At 51.6% G+C, this 20,991-nt stretch overlaps 2 long non-coding RNA genes across 2 annotated transcripts in view, besides 2 other annotated features; both read right to left on the bottom strand.

Moving 5' to 3' along the window:
* PITX1-AS1 (PITX1 antisense RNA 1) overlaps positions 1 to 20,991 on the bottom strand; it is a 311,407-nt gene that overhangs the window by 203,910 nt on the left and 86,506 nt on the right. The window lies entirely within an intron of this gene.
* On the bottom strand, positions 3,717 to 6,409 carry LOC124901072 (uncharacterized). Its single transcript, XR_007058944.1, has 2 exons — positions 4,471 to 6,409; positions 3,717 to 3,860 (listed from the first exon to the last, which is right to left on the bottom strand). It is a non-coding gene; the product is annotated as an uncharacterized LOC124901072 (long non-coding RNA).
* Positions 4,554 to 5,436: an enhancer, noted in NCBI's record as "H3K4me1 hESC enhancer chr5:134471025-134471907 (GRCh37/hg19 assembly coordinates)". NCBI's record gives its function as "activates a minimal SCP1, AML or CMV promoter by ChIP-STARR-seq in primed H9 embryonic stem cells {active_cell/tissue: H9 hESC(primed)}" and the evidence as "EXISTENCE:reporter gene assay evidence [ECO:0000049][PMID:30033119]".
* Positions 5,437 to 6,319: an enhancer, noted in NCBI's record as "H3K4me1 hESC enhancer chr5:134470142-134471024 (GRCh37/hg19 assembly coordinates)". NCBI's record gives its function as "activates a minimal SCP1, AML or CMV promoter by ChIP-STARR-seq in primed H9 embryonic stem cells {active_cell/tissue: H9 hESC(primed)}" and the evidence as "EXISTENCE:reporter gene assay evidence [ECO:0000049][PMID:30033119]".

Genomic DNA, 20,991 nt, shown 5'->3' with positions numbered 1-20,991 from the left:
CTTGATCAGTTGTCCTCCAAGTGCGATCCCTGGAACACAGAGTCACCTGGGACTTGTTAGAAATGCAAATTTTCAGGACCCACCCGAGACCTAATGAAGCAGAAACTCCAAGGGTGGGTGGGGGCCAGTGATCTTCTTTAACAGGCCCTGCAGGTGGTTCTAAGGCATGCTAGTTTGAAAACCACTGCTCTGAATAAAATCAACCAAAATAATACCCCTTGTGCAAAGCAGGGTTCTTGCTCCAAACAAGTGAAAAATAGCTGATATCCCAGATCACTCATCATTAGCATCAAATCAAATTCCTCCAAAATCAGTTATTCAGCATCTGTTCTACATATATCTGTGTAAACCTACAGAAAAATGTGAGTGCATATAAGATACGACAAAGGGAGGGAAAATAAATGAGTTCACAACTTGTTACAGTTAGGCATGTATGTTTATGTTTGTGTATTTTTCCTACCTATTCACTGAGATCTCAAACTTCCTGAGCGTAGGACTCAGCTTTCCTTGGAACATCGGCCCAGTCCTAGGGACTTTGCAGAGAGGGTGGCTCAGTCCACTCTAGGGGACCCAGCAGAGTTCAAATCCAGCCCCTGACCCCAGGGGCTCACACCAAGTCTTGTCTGAAAACTCCTCCAGAGGATGTACGACTCTTCCCTCCTCAACATTTCTTGCTACACTCCTTTGCCCTCTTCCCACTCAATGAGTCATATCACATACCCTGTTATTGTGAAATCCCAGAGCATATTTCTCCTGTTCCACTTTCCATCCACAGCCTCTGATTGGGCCTGTGCACCTGGCTCCTCCCACCTCTCTTCCCTGACCGACCTCTCCCCATCAGCTTCAAGAAGCTCGTCATTCAGGGTGCTTCACTGTCCTAGGGTCCCGCATTGTATGTCCTTGTTCCCATTTCACACTCTAATCCATTACAAGCCCATGGGAAGTTGAGGAAGAGTTGGCCCCCTGCCTGTGTTTTCCAAGTGGGTCCCCCCAGGAGCATGCCACAGGCAATCCCAGCTGGAGACCTGCGCCTGCACCATGGACCCCTCTGAAAGCCTCATGAAAGCATTCCAGGATGTAATAAACCCGTCAGGCCCTGGCTAATTTATATCGAAGCAGATGATTTCCCATTTTTTAGAATGTAAATGTTTAGATTGCAGCATTCCCCTGCCTCGGCATCTGAGGTCCTGGCACGTAAGTGATGAAATCGGCCACTTTTCCAGATGGATCCTTAGATGGAAGAGCCACCATGCCAGCATCCACCCACGGGAAGGATCCAGCTCTCAACAGGCACATGTACAAACCCCACACCAAAGTCAGTATACCAGCATTTGCTTAATGTCAAGAAGTCTCATCTGGCTTTCGCAGAGGATGGGAGGAGAAATAGAGCTTTCAAAGGCAGGGCTTCAGAGCAGAGACAGCAACTGAGATTAGCTAGGTATTCCAAGATCTCTTTCCTTTTATGCTTCTTTGCAAAAAGTTCCTCATTTACTCTGGCCTCAGATACATGTTATTAGATCTCTGTGTTGTATAAACAGGCAAGAGGAGTAGATTAGTGGAAATAAATATAACACAACCCAAGAAAACAGTTCAGCTTGGCCAGTCGAGCCCTGCACATCCCACTGTTCACTCTGTCCTGGGCTGTGTGCATTGACCCATGAGACCCTGCCACCAAACACCATGGGTGGCCCATCCATGAGGCAGCCTCCACCAAGGGAGCTCCTAGCCCAGGGAACCACAGATGTCTTCTTGGGTTCCAGGCACAGGAAAACCAGTTTCCCAAGACCAAGGGAACTCAGAAATGGCCCCTGTAATGAACCACTAGCATCCAAGGGCTCCAACTACTTCAACCAAAATACACCCATTGTCCTGGCACCATTTTCTATAGACAAGTGCCAATTCATGCACAATGTGAGCCCTACAAGCCACTCAGCCTTTTAGTTTCTTCACTGGCCAAATGAAGCTATCCTCTCCATCTCCTGACAATGATGGGAGAAGTCCAGATATGCTGCAAGGAAAGCTTGAGGGTCCTAAAAGGAACTCTAGGCTCAGATGGCTGCTTCACCCATCAAGAAGGCAACAGAATGCGGTACTTGGGCTTGGAAGTGAGTCACACTGCTGAGTTACAGTACACTGCCTCTAGGCTATATGTCTTTGGGCAAGTCACCTCACCTCTCTGAGCCTGACTTTCTTTATCAATAAGATAGAGATAATATAGTATCCATCTCTTAGGTTGTTATCAATAATTAACATGTATTGAGTATTTACTATCCTAATCCAGGTCAGATCATCTGAGAGCAGACTTCCTGCCTGGCCAAATGATCCACTCTCTTGAGCTCTGGATGGTGCCAGATGGTGCCAGGCAGCATTTGAGCAATATTTTCCAACATGAGACCTGCAGTGCATGGCTGAGCTGGGAGGAGGGCAGACACGAACCAGACCTGCTCCTTCATTTAAGCAACAGGCTCTGATTCACCTAGAGGGCCAGGATTCAGCCCGCGGCTCTCAGCTCCAGGCCTGTGCCACCCTTATCAGGAGTAGTAATGCTAGAAGGTTGGTAAAACAATCACTATGATCTGCACAACCAAGGTACCCCACCTGTCCTCAGGACCTATGGAAAAAACAGGAATCAAGGCAAGTTTGGGCTGCCCATTTACAGACACAGCACCTGAGCTTCTCTGAATCACCTGAGGGCAAGATTTTCAGGCAAATGCTCAAAAGCCCCTCAAGTTCCATCTCAGCTTTTCCCCAGGTCTGAAGCTCACTGGCAGCCTCAAGGAACTGAAAGGCTCACATCCACCTCTGCAGGATGACAAATCCAATGTCCCCTCCAGCCCTGAGGCTGGCGAGGACACCAGAGCAGCCATCTCCTGACTCAAGTCTCTGCAAACCAAGCCTTGTCCAGCTTCCCACTCAGGCTCATTCCCTCCTAATTCTGAGTCAAGGGGGAAATGCTGTGAGAATTAGCAAGGACCCCTTCTGGAGCCCCAGCCCCTCATTTGCAAACAGTTAGGGGCTTTCTCCCTTCCTTCCAGTATGACTGCCCCAAACATCTCCCGGCCACGGAAAATCCCTGCCTACTCCACCACTGGGCAGCCTGGCTAGAGATTTTATTCCATTAATTTTCATCCTGATAATTAGAAGCAGCTCTCCTCCCTGCTTCTGTAGGGTTTAATGAGCTACATAACGTCACATTTCCCACTGAGGCTGCTTAAACCTGCATTTCACTCCAGGGACGCTGCCACCCCATCCTGCCCTATCCCAAGCTACCCCAGGCCCTGACGGCAGCCAGTTCTTCTTCCTCTCTGGGGTCAAGCCTCCTCAGAGCAGGGCCCGGAGCTCCAGCCTCCACAGGGGCCTCTGACAAACCCCTTGGTAGAAAGCAGAATTGAATCATCTTTGGACCCATGTCCACATTATGGGTAATAAAGGCCTTTGTGTGCCTATAAAGCAAAATTCCTGCAAAGCCTTTCCATCTCAACATGCCACGTGCAACAAAATGAGTGCTGCTCGCACACGGCCCTTACACGTGCCAGGGTCTACCCACACGCGCTGCGACCAGGTGATACCTGCACCCACCTGACCTATGTATGCATGGGGTGCCAATCCCAGCCCTGGGACCTACCAGCTAACATGAGCCCATCACTTCATCTCACTGAGCCCTATTTTCCTGCTCTGGAACATGGGATAACAGAAGCACTTAATTCACCAGACTGTTACAAAAGTCCAACTTGCATTTTATTCATTCATTCAATTATTGAACAAACACCTGGTGAGTTCCTACCCTGTGCCATGCATGTTCTGCACACAGGAGATACCACACTGATTGTCAAGATCCATGCCACCACAGTGCTTCCATCCTAGAGGGAGGAAACACACACAAAACATGGAAAGAATGAATGAACTTAAATCTGAGATAATGAAGACAATGAGACCAGGGCCAAAGTAGTGTTGTGGGCGGGGGAGGGGGGAGGGGTGCTACTCCAGAGTGAGGATTAGGGTCATATGAGTTTATGCATGTGAGCACAGTATGGCTAGAACAGATATCTACTATAATAGTGTACTATTATGGTGTAGATGAGGTGCTATCCTGCATCACAGCACAACTAGGCTTACTGAATTGTGAGGTGCCTGCAAGACCCAAAAACTCGGGATGCCTCATGGGAGCTGATGGCATGCCTAGAGCTTTGCTGCTGCCACTTCATTATCTGGAATGATTTCTGGGGGGCTTATCCCAGAGGTAGATTATACTCCTCCCACCTCTACCACTGCCACCAAGTCCTCCTGCCTCCGCTCAGGGCGAGTCTGTAGGATCCCCAGTCCCTTCCCTGGTGATCTGTAAGGGCCAGGCCCATGCCTGTCCTGCTCAATGACCAGCACACAGCAGGTGCTCTGCACAAGTGAAGGAGCTGAGCTTGAATCAGGTGGTGCTGCAAGTGTGACCCAGCTCAGCCCCCAAAACAGACCTACCCCAGATGCAGGGTCCGAGGAAGGAAGCCACATTTTGTCCAGAACAACTGTAATATCCAGATAGGGCAAGAGACTCATGCCACGTCATATGCTGGTCGCAGTGCCAAGTCCCTTCTGGCTCCCCTTTCAATAATCTCGATTACTTCTGGCCCATCTTTCTTGTTGAGTCGAGCGCCACCCCCCTCCCACCCATTTCCCGCTCTGCCAAGACCGTGTCATCCACCTCAATAGCCAGCTCTGACGTTCCTCCAGCTCACCACACCCCGGCAATCAGGGCAGTGAGCCAGACCCACTAACCCCATGCAGCAGCTGATGCAACAGAGGTAGAGCAAGGTCACCAAGGAGCCACACCAGTGTGCAGTGTGTCCCAAGAGAGATGCTTCGGCCCATCTGTACCTCATCTCCTGCAGCATCAGGCAGGTCCATCTGACCCTGAGTGGACAGACTGGCCCTCCACTCCATGTCTGGCCATGGGCTGAGCAGCATGACGGGCCTGGGGACAAAGCAGCACTGCTCCTGCTGTCAGTGGAGGGAAGATGGCGATTGTGCCTTCATTTGGCAGACATCCTAGATCAACATCACAGGGTCGCTCTGCCAGAGGAAGTCATGCACAGCAAGAGTTACCTGTGAACAGGCCAGGAGAGAGCGTAAAAGGTGCACAGGTGGAAAGAAAGGAGCATATTTAGGAGGCAGGGGTGTCTAGGCTGGTGGGAGGGGGTTAAAGGTGGGATTGGCACCCCATGCATACACAGGTCAGGCAGGTGCAGGCATCACCTGGTCGCAGTGCGTGTGGGTAGACCCTGGCACGTGTAAGGGCCATGTGCAAGCAGCATTCCATTGCACATGGCATGTTGAGATGGAAAGGCTTTGCAGGAATTTGGGGGCCACCAACAATGCTGGCCCCAGCCTGACAATGCTGACAAGGGCTGAGCTGGGTGTAGCAGGTCAGGATGCAGCCACCCAACAGTTAACCCAGAGTGAATCAGGCAGGGGACAACAGTACAGCAGCACAGCAAGATGGGAGAAGCCTGTCCTGAAGCCACAGCAGAACTGAGTCCCAAGAGTCAAGCGCAGCAGCCTTCACAGAGCCTGGGGCATGGGACGTGTGGTGGCACTGAGCCACAGGGATACTATCCTGTGCCAGCCGCCTGCTGTGTTGGGACACTCTTCCTCTCCTGCCCTAGTGACCACTCAGAAACCCAGAGCCGGGGCAGGACTGCAGCTGGTCATCCATTTGCCAGGGGGACCCCCAGCTCAGTGGGGAGAATAGGGTGGCCACTTCCCTGAGGAAACCCCACCAGGGCACGGGAGAGTGGATCTTCTAAAGGGTGCAGGGCCACGACATGGCATGGCATGGCCCTGCCCAGGTTGCCCAACCTGCTGCAGAGGACAGAGAACAAGCACTGTCACACCCTGTGTGGGTTGGGCACCCTTCCTCTCCAATCTCCAGTGCTCTGGGCAGTTTGACAAAGCTGCCTAGCCCCAATTTTCAATGAGGTGAGGCCTCGTGTGTCAGGGCACAGGCACCCATCAGGGCTGGACCCTCAGACCACACCCCTATCATCTGGCAAACACCTGGAGCCCTTTGGCAGCCACCTCAGGTCACAGCTGCTCTAGACGCCAGTCTGCAGGGTCCCAAAAAAACTCTAACAACTAACTGGAAAAACCTACACCTGCCCTTTGTTTCTGGAATGGAACGGCTGGGGTCAAGCCACCCCTGCTAACACACCCCCAGAGATGGGAGGTGTGTTAGCTGGAACGAGGGACCAGAGAGCTGACAGAGGAGAGATGGGAGGTGGCCCCAAGGTGGCCAGGCCTATGGATGGACACTCTGATAGGCAGAGGTTCCTCCTCCCCGTGAGCTGGCATCGGTCTGCATAGAGCTTCCGTGAGGCAGCCTGCGTCCTGCCCCTGAGGCCACACAGTCTGCAGTTTCCTCTTCCAGCCGAGAGCCCTTCAGCTCCCTGAAGATGCCGTGTCCCTTATCGCTCCATAATCATTGACAGGGTAGGGGCCACGTGTCGGGCGGTGAGTGAGGAGACAGAGGGAAGACAGATAAGGGCCCTGCCCCAACTGTCTGGCGGGGAGGACATGAGTGAGGAGGTAACACAGGTTGGCGAGATAAGCACTCCCACATACAGTGACCAACCCCTGCGGGAGCAGAGGAGGGAGCCACCGACTCCCAGGGGTCAAAGGTGGCTTCACAGAGGCAGCCACATTGGGGGTGGACCTGAGTGAGAGGAACAAGTCACCACGTGGCAAAGGGAAGAGCAGGTATGCAGCCAGGCCCAGGGCTGTGGGGGGACTCTGAGAACCAAGATCGGGGCTGGGCAGGGACAGGCCTGGGATCCCCTGTCCCTCCTCCTGCTCACCACACCTCTGCACCACTGAGTCACCGCTCCGGGCCCCTAACCCTTCTCCAAGGCTCCTGATCAGCCAGGGGTCCTCCAGGGGTGAAGCTTACTAGCTGTGGTGGTGGCCAGCATTCATTCATTCACTTGCTCCTTCATTCATTCACTCACACACACACACACACACACTCAATCTCTCTCACCCACCAGAACTGTCACAGGGCCCTGCTTCACAGCCTGGGAGGCTTGTCCAGCCTGTCATACCTCCTCTGTCAGCTCTCTGGTCCCTCGTGCCAGCTAAATTGAGATGGGGTGGAGGGGATAGTCCCAGTCACCACCCTAGTCACGGTAGCTTTTCTGGTCCTTGCACTTACAGAGCTAGCTGGTGGCAGAGAGAAAGCAGGGGCACCGCAGCTCCTGCCTATGGGCAGCATGTGATCTTCTCCCACGTTCTAAATTGGCATCACCCCCTCCCTGCCAGAGCTCATTCACTCAACAAGTATTTATTAAGTTCCTACTCCATTGTCAGCACCGAACAAGTATGTTTTAAAGTTTCCACCCTTACGTCACTGCGATAAAATCTCTCTGCATCCTCACACCTTCCAATCCAAGTAATCATCAAGTGCTTACGGGTCTCCCATCACTGGGCAGCGCTGCTGGACACACTACCTGTGCGGCTTTGAACCTGGTGACTGGGGTCCTGGCTGTCACAGAGCTGAGTGTCTAGAGGGGAGACAGACAGTAAACAAGCGCACACACCAGTGCTATGAAGGCAAAATATGGGAACGCGACCACGTGACATGAGAGTGGGAGCGCTTTATACTGGGTGGTCAGGACCAGGCTCTCTGAGAGGTGATGCTGAGCTCAGACCTGAGTGGAAGTGACACGTATCTGTTCATGCTGTGTTGGCCCACACCAGTCACATGGCCACACTTAACATCAAGGTGACAGAGAAGGAGAATCCTACCACATGGCCAGGAGGAAACCAAGACATTTGGTAGGCAGAACATTTGTTGGTTGAATGGGCTCTTGGAGTCAATGGGGAGGCAGGCCTATGATCTGAAAGAACACCCTGATCATGACAGGTGCTGATGCCTCTGATGGAAGCCAAGACTCAGTTTGGAAATGGGAGTGTAAGTGGAGCCGCACACCAAGCGTATCTCCCCGTTCTTCCCCACTGTGAGCATGGCCTTTGACCAGGTCTTTTGCTGTGATGCATACCCAATCATGAATGCCCTACCTTGGAAGTTCTACACATATTAGATTCGTGTCCTCCAGCCTCTCCCCCTTGCCTGGATTGGCCTCCAAACACACCATCTCAATTCTTTCATGAGGCACAAGGTGCCACAAAGCAGCAGCCTGGGATTAGAAAGCTGTCCCATTTCCCCATCCTTCCTCAAAGGCGCTGACTTGCTCTCTTTGCTCTTCTCTCCCTCTGGGGCCATGAGGAAAGGACCTCAAATTCTGATGCAACCATGGCTTCTCTGGGTGAGGCCAAGAAACTTCCAAAACCATAAAGATGTCCAAACATTGGCCCAGCTTCCTCCAAACAGACATAAAATGCCTCGCTCACATCCGGGCCCACCACACCCCTCCTCCGGGCTCCAGGCACCATCTGGCACCTCCATCCTCATAGCTGCATGGGTGGTGGGAAGTGGGGCCCAGAGAAAAGGGGCTCAGCCACTCCCAACCCCAGCTCCCCCCATGGCTCCAGGGGTGGGAGGCCTTTGATGCCTATATTCACCCTTTGGCTGAGCAGTGACAGCCTGCACGCTAGATTTGGTGCCAAGCCACCCCAAATCCAGTTATTTTTAGTCTGTTTGTTTATCCCATTTCAAGCTAACTCTGTGTCACCACTGGTTATCATAACAGAGAGCACCTGGACGTGGCTCGGAAAAGCAACAAATAAGCTTTGGAGAGTGCCGGGGATTGCCAGGAACACCAACTGTGTTTCTAGCCTGGTGCCCAGTTGTGACAAGGCAGATTCCTTTCTTCCCTCCACACGAAGGGCCTAATCCAGATAAGCCAGGCAACAATGGCTGCCTGGCTTCTCAAGACCTTCCTTCCCGCTCATCACCCCATGCCTAGTGTCAGGACTCACACTCGATGACATCAGCCCCATGGGCCTGAGTGCGAGTCCTGGCCAAACACCAGGTCCCAAGAATGTCTTAACACTCAAGGCACCAGCTTAGGCCAAGAGCAATCTTCCCTTCCACATGCCAGCCTCAGGCCGGCCTGTCCACCAATAGCCAGAGCAGCTGGGGACTGGGTCAATGTCTGGAGGGGCAGGTAAGTCAGTGACATGGTTGCCCATTTGGATAGGCCAGGAGGGCACAAGAAGAATCATCTGACCATGTCCTGCCAACCCTGTCCACGGAGAGGTCACAGAGAGCTGCAGCACAGCAGGCCTTTTGCTAATGTGGCTGGGTGCTGGAGGTCACACAGCAACCCCAAAGGGGCTGGGCAGAGCAGGTGCTCTGGGGGCTGATCCAGAGCCTTGTCCTCACTCTGATTTGTCCTTTGTCAGCATGACTTCTACCATCACCATCACAAAGCTTCTATTAGCTAAGCACTCCCCACACCCAGACTGCAGGCTAGGCTCTGTACACACAGTACCTTCAGTGATGCTCATGGTAATCGGCATCATCATCATATTAGACAGACTAAACAACTTTCCATGTCCACCATATGGGAGGAGCTTCCAAACCACAGAGCCACCATCTCTGTCTTTCTCTATCTGGCTCTCACCTGTGATTGAAGAGAGGGAAGGATGACAGAGTGCCCACTGGGAATGCCTTTCCACCCAGTTCTCAACAGGAGTCACGGCCCAGGTCAGCTCTGGGCCAGCATCCCCTGAGCACCTGCTGTCTGCTAGCCTGTGTGAGCTGCTTTACAGAAGGACACACCAATGGGAAGCAGCAGCCCTGCCTTCAGGAAGGCCCAGCCTGGGACAGAACTGTGCCTGGCACTTGGACAGAGAGGCCCGGGAGGCATCAGGTGGAGTGGGCCCCTCCTTCCTACCCCCACTGTCCTCCCTGACCCAGGCCCTCCTCCCCTCAGACTCTCTCACTGCCTTTGAAATGGATTCCTCATTTCTAGTTCCTCCTCACCCAGGACCAGTGACTCTCTCTGATCTGTCACTCTCCTGCTCAGAACCTTCGATGCTCTCATCATCCCCTTGTCCATTCACTCACCAGTTACTGAGTGCACACATGTGCTGGGTATATGCCAAGAGCTGTGGCCGCAACAGCAGGCAAGACATACAAAGCTGATGAGTGAGGTAGGGAGGCAACCCTTGCTCCAGAGGGAGGTTGGATCTCCAGCATCCAAAAGCACCAGTGCTCAGGCAGACCCATTACTGAGTCTCACCGCTGCCACTCACCACACACATTGGCCATTATTGCTGCAACAACCACCACCTCTACTAGTTCCAGGAACTGTGGACACTGATCCCAGAGCAATCCCTGGGCAGAGAGCAAATCTGTCACTGGAGAATGGCTCCGTCACAGAGCCCGTGACCTCAGTCTCCAGTGGAGAGGAAAATGAGAGAGGAGAAAGATCCCAGTCTAGGTGAGTAGCTTGAACAAAGGCCACAGAGGCCAAAAGGCACAGAGTCTGTCTGGGGGAGGGTGAGTAGGTAGATATGGAGGGAGACTGGATTTGGAGACCAGAGCAGGAGGCAGGGGCCACTCACAGAAGTGACCATTACTGGCCTTTGTTCTCCTGCTAGGCAGGAGGGGCAATACCCAGAACTGCCATGAAGGGGCAAGGAATTAGCCAAGGCAGCTGTAGTGGTTAAGAAGGATGAGCTGGGGGGAGACTGCAGCCAGGGAGGTCAGAGAGGAGCCTCGGGTGATGTGCTGAGGGGCTGCCCTTGCACTGGGGCATGGGGAACAAAGGGAAGGAGGCAGAGCATAGAGAACAGACAGCTCTTAATGAGATGGCTCACTAGGCCAGGAACAGGGAGAGCAGGTCCATACATCGGGCTGACACCAAGGAGGTGTACCACCCTGTAGGCACTGCAGCACAGAACGCTGTGGGCTGCGAGGATGCCCAGGCCTGGAGCCCAACAACTCAGAAAGGAGTCGTGTTCCACAAGCAGCTGCCCTAGCTGGAGTCCCAAGGGTGAGAACGCTCTGAGACACAATGCAGCATCTATCCCCCTGGCTGCAGGTGGGACTCCCCTCCAGGCACGGCAGGGAGAAGGCTGCCTCACTTTCTTCCCTTGGTCTGGGGGCTACTCTGTTTCTCTGTCACCATGGACAAGTGAAATCACAGCCACGTCCTCCCCAGCACTCCAGGCAGTAGCTTCTCCTCACCCAGCCTTTGGTCTCCTTGCCCCTTCCTGTCGCTCAGCACATGTCACTGAGTGCATGTGTACTGGTGAGAGCCCTCTGGAGAGTGCCGACCTGCCTTGCAAGCCAGTCACACAGCACTCCTTCTGAACCCGCCTCGGGGACGGCACATGTGTTCACCACGCAAGCTGCACCGAGCCACGCACAACCAAATCAATGCAAAACAAAACCACAATGAGATACCATTTGTCATCTATCAGATTGGCAAAGATCCACGAGTCTGATAGCACTTTGTGTAGGTGAAGATATGAGGAAACAAGCCACTCGTACCTCGTTGGTGAGGGAGGAAATCACCTCAGTCTCCTGGCAGGGCAATAGGATAGAATCAAACCAATTTAAATGTGCATATACACTTTGACCAGCATTTCCACCTCTAGGAATCTCTCCCAGGTGCATATGGTTACTGAGACATTTGCTGCAGCAAGCAGCATTATTTATTATAGCAAAAGACAGAAAGCAGCCAAAAAGCCCATCAATAGGGCACTGGTCAAAAACTCATATGGAGGCCAGGGTGGGAGGATCATGAGGTCAGGAGATCGAGACCACCCTAGCTAATATGGTAAAAACCCCCTATCTACTAAAAATACAAAAACTTAGCCGGGCGTGGTGGCATGCACCTGTAGTCCCAACTACTTGGGAGGCTGAGGCAGGAGAATCACTTGAACCTGGGAGGTGGAGGTTGCAGTGAGCCAAGATTGGGCCACTACACTCTAGCCTGGGGGACAAAGCGAGACTCCATCTCAAAAAAAAAAAAAAAAAAAACAACCTTGTATGGTCCATCTATACAATGGACTAATATATAGCTGTTAACAGGAACGTGGTGGCTCTGTATAAGATGATATGAAATGAATGCCAAGATATACCAAATGTTGAAAGGAAATAACAGGACAGCTCAGCATGTACACAAAAGCAAAAGTCTGGGTGCATGGAATATACGCTTAAGCACTGACCCCTAAGTGCTTGAATGAGCACGTCTCTGGGAGGGCACAGCTGATGTACCAGTGACAGTGGTTGCCTCTGGGAAGGGACACTGATGGCTGGAAACAGGTGGGGGGTGCACTCATCACCACATACCCTTTTGTAATATCTACTCTGTGACAGTTTCACCATATGTCTGTATTACTTTAAGGAAATCAACACACAGATCTGCTTATGGGACAGTGCTTCTCCTGCCTACATCAATTTATGTTAGATTATTCCCACCCCTACCCCAAGATCGCTGACAACTTACCCATGTGCTATTTTCCCCGAATCCTCAGTTCCCCACACTGTGCTTGGCAATGAGGTACTTGGAAAGGGGCTGAGTGAGGAGGGGCCAGCACTTCCAGTCCAAGGGTCTCCACTTCTCCCTGGCATGCTGGAAGAGACCAGAGCTCACTGTCCCACCCAGGTTCTATGAGACTAGGCATGGGGCAATGGGCTAGGCCATCAGCCTCCAACTATGTGGCTCTGCAATGAGCAGAAATCCCAGCCCTGGAAGCGCACCCACGAAGCCCATGCTCTGTGTCCGAAAAGACACTCCCAGCAGGCACGGCGCCTGCGCAATGCCTGCAGCCAGCTGCCTGTGGTCCCGGGAATGGCCTCTGTTGACTAATTTCTGTACATAATTCCACCCAGGATGAGTCAACAGTCAGGGCAGGCAGGACTCCTCACAGGCTGGCCCGAAAAGCCATTCAGAAAGATGAAAAGCAGAGCACAAGGTGCCCAAGCCACTGAGATAGAGGATGGGCACCCCCTCTTTGGATCAGACAAGCTCCCTCTGCAGGGGTTTTTGAAAGACTCCCCAGGCCCCACCACGGCATCAACCACGCAGGGTGGGGACAGGCGTACCACAGCCCCTCATTCTGTCCAGGGCCTCTGCCCCATCTACTGGGTTGGGTCAGCACCACCCCACCTGGTTCTTATTAACCACCCTCTAGAGGCAGCCATCAATTACACAATGCTGCCATTTATCTAGCCCCTCATCCCCACACAAGTCACCATGACCTGACCAGGGGCCCAGGGGCTGACCCTTCCCATCCCTGCTAGGCACCTGCCTGAACAGGCAGGCTTTTCCAGTCTCTCAGATCCCACCCCACCACTGACTGGGTCACCTGGGGCCAGTCCTGTCATTTCTAGTGCCCTTGCCTATAAAATGGGCCTATGACACATCTCCCTCAGGGTTGCTGTAAGGATCGAATGGGATGACCCCAGCACACTCCGTACAAGATAAGGGCTCAGTAACTGGCAGCTGCCATCAGAATTGTCATCGTAAGAGGCCACAGGAAACCCATTCCATTCCATCCCCCAGGCCCTTCCCTGCAGGCAGCACTCGGGTCTGGGCAGGGAAGGGTGAGAGAAGGTTCAAGGAAAGAAGAACCACTCCCGCCTGGGCTTGGCACCCTTGCAAAGACCAGTAGCAGCACCTCCTCCCCTACCTTTGTTTGCTCTCTCATCTCCTCAATCCTGTGCAGGCCTTCCCATCCCCAGCCCCTGCAGCCGCGGCAAATCTTTGTCAGCAAACAGCACATTAATTGCTTCTTGGCCACATTTCAAATGATATCACAGAATCAGGCTGCTCAATTTGAGCAAATGGAAAGGAAGAAAGAGGGGCACCCAGCAACTCACACAAGAGCCAGGGATGATGGGTAGCTCCAGTTACTAATTAATCGACTGCTCAGATGGAACAAATCTGAAACCCCAACAGGTCGGACTGGTGAGCCCTGGGCTCCCCGCCAGCCCCCTTCATCAGAGGGAAACAGAGCACTGGTCCTGAACACCTTCAGGAGGGGAGCCCTGGAGTCCCGCCGCCCACTGCCCAGGAAAGCTAACAGAGGCTCCGCCTCAGTGACCATGTCCTGACCAGGCGGCCTCCTGGACCACTTACAGAACCACTCACTCACTCAGCAAGCACACTTGAGCTCCCAGGATACCACTAGACTAAACTCCAAAAGAGTGGGGATGTGAATGCAGGGCTCACCACTGCACCCCATTCCCAACACAGCACCCAGCATGAAACAAAAACAAAACAAGCGGCACTCAGTATATGAACATCAAGAGAATGAAAGAATAAATTAAACAAGGAGTACCAAGCATGGTGTTAGGTTCTAAGGGTATAGTACTGAATGCAAGCCCTGGCCTCACGGCACTCACATTCTAGTGTGGGAACTACTGTTAACCAAACAGCCAGACAACGACAGCAATATTGCAACCATAATAGGTACCATGAAGCGGAGGCTGCCAAAATAGAGAGAGTGGTAACAGTGGGACTTGTCCCCATGTGGTGGCCAAGAGGAGCCACTAAGCGGGAAAGGAGCTTGCCACCACCCCAGTGTGCTCATCCAAGGCGGCTTCTCCACATCCCAACTCCCTGAATTCCCCCAACACCCCTGCACCCCATCACCACAAAAGACCACCAGCGTCTCATCCACCTAAGGTGGGGCAGGGTGGCAGCCCAGGGAATGTGGGAATGAGATTGGCTGGAAAAGGTCTCCTAGAGCAATTGTGCCTCCTCTCGAGTACTGCCTGCTGCAGTAGGGACCACAGGCACTAACAGACACACAGGGCCCTGCAATGCCCAGGCCATGTGGGACCCCAAACTGCCAGGCACTTTTCTTCATCTTCTAAGAACGCCCAGGTCACCACGCCCAACTGAGATCTCTTAGCCTCTCGATGCCTGAATGTTAACATGTGGACACCCCTCCATCCACCTGGCATTCCTGGACATGGCATGTTTCTGAAAGAGTGTATTTGGAGAGGGCGGGGCACAGGCCTGAATTTGAGCCTCAGCTCTGTTTCTTCCTAGCCGTGAAACCTGGAATAAACGATTTAGCCATCTCTTTTCTGTAAAATGGGGGTAGAACTGTCAGCTGAGGGGCAGCAACCATGTCAAGAATACAAAAATGGCAAAGGCTCATACAAACCCAAGGATGGCCCTCAATGATTTTCCTCCCCTTGGCTGCCTTTTCTAATTATTATTGGGGTAGGGTATGGGAAACCATTCTGGGCCCCAATTTCTGCTTTTCCCTATGGTCTTTCAGCCTGTGCCATCTTTTACTACTCAGGTATATGTAACCAGCTACCAATCTGCCTTCTTCTCCTGAACCAAGAAGCATGCACCATAGATCCAGGGTCCTTTTCCACCCAGATCTGCCAGACAGTTAAAAAGTGGCAAATTATTTTGAAATGTTATTGTCTGCGCCAACATTAATCCATGATGGCACCAGAATTTCCATAAACAGAGGCTTGAAGGTGGCCATCTGCTTAGAAGTAGGGCTAGGAACTTGTCTGGAGGCTGCATTTGCATAGAGAACACAGTTTTGCACGGATTGTGTTTCTTTGGGATCTCTTTGGTATAATAATATCAGTAACCCCCACTTCCACTAATTGTATCAAGCACTGTGCCAAGAGCTTTACATACATAGTCTCATTTAATCTTCTTCACAACCAATGAGGTATTATTGTCTCCATTTTACAGATAAGTAAACAGATCTGGAGAGGCTAAGTCACTTGCCTAAGATCTTGCAGTTGGCTCAGGCCAGAGCCAAGACTTGAACCTAGGTCTGTCAAATGCCAACTCCACTGTTGCTATGAAATAAACTGCTACTCTCCTAGTCACACTCCCTAGCTGTCCCACGCGACACTCTCCTTCCACTCGAGGACACCCACCCCACCCCGCCCGACCACCCAAGCTGCCCGTCTGCAGCTGGAGGGCTTCAAACTTCAAACTCCCCACAAATGGATTTCTGAGCATGATTTTTTTTTCCTGGCAGGAGTCTGAAAAGGCTGTTCCTCTCAGTTACTGCTGTCTAGGGCTTTTGAAAACATTAGGGAGGCTTACACCAACTCAGGAAGCCAGTATGTGCCCGCTAAGGTCTGAGCCCCTTGCTCGGGTACCTCCCCCAAGTGGAAGTAGTACAGGGGGCTGTTCCAAATTCCACCCTAAGGAGTGTGCTCCCTTCCTCGACACAACTGACAGATTTTCTTCCACAGATGCCGGCCCAGCCCGAGGCTGCACCTCACAATAAGCCCCCACCTGCAAAGAATGTCTGTAAATCCTGGGGCTCTGCACAGAGCAGCCGGATTGCAGGGAACGGCAGCAAATCCCAGGATAAAAGCAGAAGCCATCCTGTTGACAATTCATTCGTGTTTCTCCCCCAAATCCATCCACAACAGAACTGTTAAGCTCATGTTTCCTCTCCTGTTGCAAACAATTGTAAAAATGATTGGTATCTGCCCTCAGTGTAGAACCCGTCTGCTTCATCCCCAGGCTAAATCTTTCTGGAAGGGCTGCATGTGTGAAAAACATGCATTCCCAAGATGTGCAGATAATGGTTGCTCTTAGAGACCCTAATCACTCAGTTCACAGAAGAGAAATGCAAAGGCTGGTCAAAATAACTGATGACTTTCTAGAAACCAGAGGTCTGCTGCAGAGGCTGAGCTGGGCACCTGAGGGCAGGAAGGCTCAGGGTCGCCCTTGGAGACAGAATGGTCCCACAGGGTTTCATTCTGCTACTGGAGCTCCCATCATGAGTCCTCTATCCTCCTGCATATACCTCCTGTCTTTGTTTATGGCTCTAACATCTCTTCTCAAAGTAGAAATGGTATCAGGGAGTCGGGGAAGGTATAAGGAAGAGAGCTCAGGCAGTGGCCAGGACACCTGGTTCTGATCCTGGCTCTGACACCAACTGGCTGTGCCTTCACCTCTCTGGGCCTTGGTTTTCTCATCTGGACATCTGGAACAAATGACCCCGAAATTGACAACCCATGAATCTCACATGCAGATTCAGAGCTGTTTAAGCCAGACAGCACTGCAGAGCCCAGTGCCAACAGCCAGTCCCAGTCAAGCCAGGAAGCTGGCATCTGTGGGGCAATATGGCTGCAGCTAGATACATACTACGAGACTACACATATGGGTCCGTGGGAGCTCAGGTAGACAAGCAAAGAGGAAAATATCCTTTCAGCCTGAAGGAACCTAGAATTGATGCACTAATGCGCAGATTTTCTAAAATATACATTGCTATCTATGATGAATATACTTATATTTCTCCCCATATCCATCTTCCCTTCTAGCAAAAGCTCTAATTTTGTTGGAGAATCCATCTCTCCCACATCTCAATACACTTGAAGCACAAGTCCCACATCTAGGCCAATCAGTACATGGCATTCCCCTGGCCAAGTAATTAGTTCAGAGGAGGGCACATGACCATGCCAATCCAATCAGAGTGAGCCACAGTCCTCTACTAGGAATGCTAGGATAGAGATTCTCAACCTATCCCACTGGATCGAGTAAGATAGGATGTAGGGATAGAGCTGCGGCAGCCATCTTTTAACCATATGGGGACTGAGAACAGAACTAACTCTACTTAAGGGAACCAAGGAATGGGGAGAATTAAACTCTGTCACGGAGAAAGTTTGGGTGCTGGATCAAGTCACACCTGATCTATCTATGGACTATTCAGATAGAGCTACTAAGGAAACATCACATCCAATTCCTCAACATTCCCAATCCTCTATTTGAAAGAATCTTTTGCTGATTGAAAGATAGGATAAGACCTAAGAAGCACATCCAGCAAATTCTCTGGGTTGGAAATGGATTCATCCAATCATCTGCTGATTCAACAAATATTTACTGAGTAATTATCAGCTTTATGCCATTAATGGTGATCAAGGCACAGACTCTGCCCCAAGAGCTCTCTGATTGTGGGGCCACAATCTCACATGTTGGTGGTTTTACTGCAGTGTGATGATGACTGTAATAGAGTAAGTATAAGTGAACTGTGGATACACTGCCTCTAAGCCACGAGGAGGGAGATCAGGGAAGCCTTCTCAGGTGGTGTCTAAAGGCAACCATGATGCCCTTTTAGATTTAGCACTGACAAACCTCAGCAGTCCTCAAAGCAACACTGTGTCACAGATTTGGCAGGAATTTCCATCCCTATGCAATAGAGAAAGCAACAGAGACCTAAGGTTCAGGCTCGCACAGCAAAATGAGGCTAAGCAGAGAGGAAGGAGAACGAAAATCTCCTTGTCACCCTGTGACAGCACAACCGCCTTCTGACTTGATGGCTGCATGGCACCCCAAAGTTGGCATCAAAAGGACAGACACACAGGATGTCTGGGGTGCAGGGGAGGTGCTGCAGGGAGTCAGAGACAGGCCACACACCTGCTGGGCCAGGGACAGGGCTCTGTGTGCCCATGGCCACAGCAGCAGCCCTTCTGGACAGACCCAAGCCAAGCTCCTGGGTAGAGCATCATCATCACTGGGGTCATCCTGGGAAAGGGAAAGTTTTCCAGAATCACAAATGCTTCTCACACAAACCTCAGCAGAGCCCCGAGCAGTTGGACACACTTTGCATTGTCTATAAGGACAGCAAAGGGCCCATGGCCGCTGACCAGGATGGAGGAGTCAGTGCCTCATCTCAACGCACCATCCTCACTCTACAGGCCATGAGGTCCAGGAGAGGCAGGCAATGAAATCCTCTCTTACCTTTTTGTACCACGGTATGATGAAAAACAAGAGAAAATAAAGGCTACTAGAAGAGATTAAGAGCATGGACTTCAGAGGCCGGAAGTCCTGAGTTTTAGTCCATTTACTAATTTGTGTAACATTTTCCTTTAAACAATCACAGCAAGTAGTAATAATAGTCACTGAGGGTTTCTGAAACTCAATTTCCTTATATGTAAAATGGAGATAACACCTACCTCCTGGGGCTTATAGGCAAATACATGCAAAGCACAGAGACATGCACAGTAAATGGCATGAATATATATATATATATATATATTTTTTTTTTTTTTTTTTTTTTGAGACAGAGCTTTGCTCTTGTTGCCCAGGCTGGGGTGCAATGGCATGATCTCGTCTCACTGCAACCTCCATCTCCCAGGTTCAAGCAATTCTTCTGCCTCAGCCTCCCAAGTAGCTGGGATTACAGGCATGTGCCACCATACCCGGCTAATTTTGTACTTTTAGTAGAGACAGGGTTTCACCATGTTGATCAGGCTGGTCTCGAACTCCTGACCTCAAGTGATCAGCTCACCTCGGCCTCCCAAAGTGTTGGGATTACAGGCGTGAGCCACTGTGCCCAGCCGCAAGAATATCTTTCGATTACTATTATTCCCCTGTAGAAATGGCCACTCTCTGCCTATCCCCACACATAGCTATAGAATAAAACTGAGGACACACCAACTGAAGACAACAGAGAAAGAGCCTGGGGTCTAAAATGAAGCTCTTCCACAAAAGCAAAATACAAGGGCAAAAATACCAGAAAAGCAGCCATGGCCTCAACAGACCTCCAGAGCCCACAACTACAAAACCATGGCCTCACTCCCCATTCTAATCCTCTGCACGCAGCCAAATGAAGACCTCTTCCATCAAGGGACATGAGGCCAGAGCTCAGAACCCTCACTTTCTTCGCCCGCAAGGGGGCTCCAGGATGCTTGAAAGAGCCCTCCTAATCCTCTCAGGACATTAGAGCCCCATGCCCACCGGCCCTAGGACACGGTAGTGCTGCTGCCCCTGCAAGCATCCCCAACAACCCTGCGCCCCCGCCGCCCCAACTCCATCAGGGTAGGGTAAGACCTGGTAGGTTTTCCCACATGAGGCTTCCAGAAGCCTCTCCTTTCTCCTTTCAGTTGTCTTCTCCAAAAGCAGGCCTGGCTAGCCATGCTGCCAGCCTCACAGAGGATTCTACCTGTGGGTGTCAGCCCAGTTCCCACTGGGAACAAAGAGCTCAGCTGTGGGGCCCAGGGCATGGTGGCAAGGGCACCCTTCAGGCCCTGCAGACATTAACCTCAATTCACAAATCACATCACTAGGCCCTGGGAGGGCAGGCTGGAGCCTTTGTGGCCCACTAGGGTTAAGCAGGGTAACGCAGACTCAAATAACCACTTTGCCCCTCTCTTCTCACACGTTCCTCAGAACAGGGGTTCCAGGCTCCAGGCAGCCTGAAGTCCCAACACCATCTTTCTCCTGGCCCCACCTCAGGTGTCTCTCCCTAAAGCAACCTGACCTCCCTAGGCAGGATCCCCCATCTGCCTTGTACCTTCTTGGAAGGCACCAATTCCCTTGCAAAGGTGGGCCTCTCGGCTCCAAACAGATCCGTTCTGGGCCTGTTTAGCACCAAGGATGACTACACGTGGTCCCATCCCTCAGGAGCTCACAGGGTGGTTGTGGCAGTACCAACAATGCCAATAACATCACAATAGCTACCACTGAGTGCCTCCTATGTGCCAGTTACTATCCCAGCTGGGCCTCAGTTAACCTTGCAACTCCACAAGTGAAGTATTACAATTCCCCATTAGAGACAAAACTGAGGAGCCAGCTAAGATTATCTTTCCCAAGGATACATAGACAGCAAGTGGCAGGGGTTACACTGGGGTCATATGTACACCCGGATTGTCTACGCAGAAAGAACATTGACTGTGGGCTTGGCCACGTGCACTATGCTTTTTTTTCTTTTTGAGACAGAGTCTCACCCTGTCGCCGAGGCTGGAGTGCAGTGGTGCAATCTCAGCTTGCTGCAACCTCCGCCTTCTGGATTCAGATGATTCTCTTGCCTCAGCCTCCCAAGTAGCTGGGATAACAGGTGTCCACCACCACACCTGACTAATTTTTGTATTTTTAGTAGAGATGGGCTTTCACCATGTTGGCCAGGCTGGTCTTGAACTCCTGGCCTCAAGTTATCTGGCTGCCTCACCCTCCCAAACTGCTGGGATTACAGGCATGAGCCACCACGCCCAGCCTGCGCTATGATTTGTTCAATGTTTTTCTTTAAATACTTTTAATGACAGTAATAACAACAGCTAACACCAACTGAGTCCTGATTATATGCCAA

The sequence above is a fragment of the Homo sapiens genome, chromosome 5 (assembly GCF_000001405.40).
Source record: "Homo sapiens chromosome 5, GRCh38.p14 Primary Assembly".
Lineage (NCBI taxonomy): Eukaryota > Metazoa > Chordata > Mammalia > Primates > Hominidae > Homo > Homo sapiens.
The sequence above is the reverse complement of the archived record's forward strand: the minus strand, read 5'-3'. Positions and strand labels throughout refer to the sequence as shown.